At 35.6% G+C, this 3409-nt stretch overlaps 1 annotated feature.

Moving 5' to 3' along the window:
* Positions 3078–3157: a silencer, noted in NCBI's record as "silent region_15346". NCBI's record gives its function as "represses an Ori minimal core promoter by ATAC-STARR-seq in GM12878 lymphoblastoid cells {active_cell/tissue: GM12878}" and the evidence as "EXISTENCE:reporter gene assay evidence [ECO:0000049][PMID:35858748]".

The following is a 3409-nucleotide window of genomic DNA, read 5'->3' on the forward strand; positions in this document are numbered from 1 at the left end:
GTTGAATTGGTTGTAATGTCACCTTTGTTGTTTCCGATTATGCTTATTGAATCTTCTCTTTTTCTTTGTTATACTAACTAGCAGTCTGTTAATGTTGTTCATCCTTTCAAATAACCAATTTGTGGTTTTGTTGATTCTTTTTATTCATTGTTTTTGGGGTATCAATTTCATTTAGTTCTGCTCTGATTTTAGTTATTTCTTTTCCTCTGCCAGCTTTGGTGTTAGTTTGCCCTATTTTACTAGTTTCTCTATGTGTGATGTTAGATCATTCATTTGAGATCTTTCTAACTTTTCAAGATAGGTGTTTGGCACTATAAACTTTCCTCTTATCATTGTTTTTACTGCATCCCAGAGATTTCAGTGTGTTTTGTGTCTGTTTTTATTTATTTCAAAGAATTTTTTTCATTTCTGCCTTTATTTTGTTGTTTAATCAAAAGTCATTCTGGAGCAAGTTGTTTAATTTCAATGTAATTGTACGGTCTTGAGAGATTTTCTTGGTATTGATTTATATTTTTATTCCACTGTTGTCCAAGACTATATTTGGAATAATTTTATTTTAAAAAAATTTAATTGAGACTTGCTTTACTGCTGAGCCTGTAGTCAAAATCTTGGAGGATATTTCATACATAGATGAGAAGAATGTATATTATGTGTTTAGTGGTTGGAGTATTCTGTAGATGTGTACTAGGTCCAATTGGTCAAATGTTGATTTTAAGTCCAAAATTTCTTTGTTAGTTTTCTGACACAATGATGTGTCTAATGCTGATGGGGGTGGTAAAGTCCCCACTATTGTTGTGTGGCTAAGTCTTTTCATAGGTCTAGAAGTGCTTGCTTTGTGAATAAGGGTGCTCCAATGTTGGGTGTAGATATATTTAGGATAATTCAGGATAGTTATGTCTTCTTGTTGAATTTAACCTTTTATCAATATACAATGCCCTTCTTTGTCCTTTTTTTTCACTGCCTTTCGTTTAAAGTCTCTTTTATTCGATATAAGAATAGCAACCCTTGCTCTTTTTTGTTCTCCATTTGTGTGATAGATCTTTCTCCAACTCTTTACTTTGAACCTTCACTTTGAACCTAGGTGACAGATCTTTCTCCAACTCATCATGGATCTCTTGAAAAGAGCAGATAGATGTCTCATTTTTTTATTCAGCTTGCCATTCTGTGCCTTTTAAGTGGGGTGTGTAGACCATTTATTTTCAGGGTTAATATTGATATGTGAGGCTTCAATACTATTGTGAAATTGTTACCTTGTTGCTTTGTAGTTGCTATTGTATTTTTGCTTTACAGTGTCTGTGGGATATGTACTTAAATGTGTTTTTGTGGTAGAAAGTATTGTTCTTTTGTTTCTGTGCTTGGAACTCCCTTAATGATCTCTTGTAAAGCTGGCGTAGCAGTAACAAATTCCCCTAGTCCTTGCTTTTCTTGAAAAGATGTTATTTTTCCTTCACTTACAAGGCATAGTTTGGCTGGATATGAAATTCTTGGTAGGAATTTCTTTTCCTTAAGAATGCTAAAAATAGGCCCCCAGTATCTCCTGGCTTATAGGTATCTGCTGACTACGTTTTCTTTAAATAGCCAATCTCTACCATTTTGAAAACACAAAAGAGCTATTATTACCTTAACCTTATGAGTCATTTTTAGTCTTTTTAAATTATCCTCAAACAATTTATACTTTATAAATTATATTTTATAATTAGACCAGTTCGTTATCAATACCTTAAAGCAGTATTTTTAAAAAATACAATGGGATGGGTTATTATATTTTTTATCTAACTTTATCAAGCACCACATAATTTGAAAATTCACTAACAAACAATAGCTTGCATCCAATATACAAGATTATGCAAGTTTATTTTCCCCATCTAGATACTTGTAAAAGTACTCAGAGTTAGGCTGGGTGCAGGGGCTCATCCCTGTAATCCCAGCTCTTTGGGATGCCAATGCAGGTGGACCACCTGAGGTCAGGAGTTTGAGACCAGCCTGGCCAATATGGTGAAAACCCATCTCTAGTTAAAATACAAAAAAATTAGCTGAGCGTGGTGGTGCACATATGTTGTCTCAGTTACTTGAGAGTCTGAGGCAGGAGAATCGCTTGAACCCAGGAGGCAGAGGTTGCAGTGAGCCAATATCACACCACTGCACTCCAGCCTAGACAAGAGAGTGAGACCCCGTCTCAGGGGGGAAAAAAGTACTCAGAGTTAATTTAGTGACTCTTCCAGCTAAATCAATTCTATATCATTGAATTCTGATGGGGACTGAAACCTTTTCTGTATGCTTTCTTTAAGGTTAATTTCCTCTGTTTAACTTTCAGTTGTTCCTCTTCAGCAAAAAGTCACATTTTCTCATATTTTCCTAAAGCCTAATTTTATCTTCTTCTTCTTTACATAGTCAAGCATCTCTTGTAATTGCTTTGGCAAAAAGAGAAGGATTTTTCTCTTGGTTCACTTAATAAAGAGTCATATGAGAAAGCTACAAGTGTTCCACTTAAAATGTACCTTATTACGTTATACCTATAATAGAAGTTCATCATGAGCATTTTGAGAATTCATAATATTAGAAAGAAGTGGAGAAAATCAACATACATCGTTTCACCACCCAGGGATAAAAATAATTAACATTTAGAATATTTGCTTCTAGTATAAGAATTAAATTGAGTTTTGACTGCAGTTGTGTTATGATTTGTTTCCATCCTACCCATGTGGTTGCACACCAGATGGAGAAACTCCACTAATTATCCATGTTTCCTCCGGTGTCAAATTTACCAGTTGGCAACCTCATCACAGCTCTTCTGAGCCCTTCTACCCTGTTACAGTATACAGCCTGATGTCGCCACACTGCATTACTTTCCTTTGCTCATTTTAGCTACCCGCAGCCCCTCTCTGATAATCAGAGAGAGAGAATTAGTAACTACCAAGTTTACTCAATCTGTCTTTTAGTTATTGGTTTTGACATATTCAGAAAATAAAGATATATTCAGAAAATTTACTAAGAGTATTTGTGATGCAGCATGGTATAAAATAAAATTCACTGGTATAAGATAAAATATTACTGGGACACCCACTCCCTCCTCCTTCTGGTAAGAGAGCTAGATCTAGACAATCTTAGGTCTGCTTCCCTGTAGCCATGAGCTGCAGAAAAATTGAAGCAGAACTGAGAGAATAGATTGCAAGAGAGTGTTTAAGTTCCTCTTCTGCTGCCATGTCACACTCACTTGTTATAACGGTTGCCCTTGTACAACAGAAATCTGCAATAATGGCAGAGGAACAGGTTTCTGAGGTGAGGAGTTGATAAAGAGAGGTGTGAGGGAAGAGACCAGTGGCTTTGGGAACTTATTTCTCTCTGCTCCCCCTCTCCAACCCCACAAAAAAAAAGCATCTTCCAAATATTTCTCCTAAGAATTTCAAAG

Source organism: Homo sapiens, chromosome 4 (genome assembly GCF_000001405.40).
Source record: "Homo sapiens chromosome 4, GRCh38.p14 Primary Assembly".
NCBI lineage: Eukaryota > Metazoa > Chordata > Mammalia > Primates > Hominidae > Homo > Homo sapiens.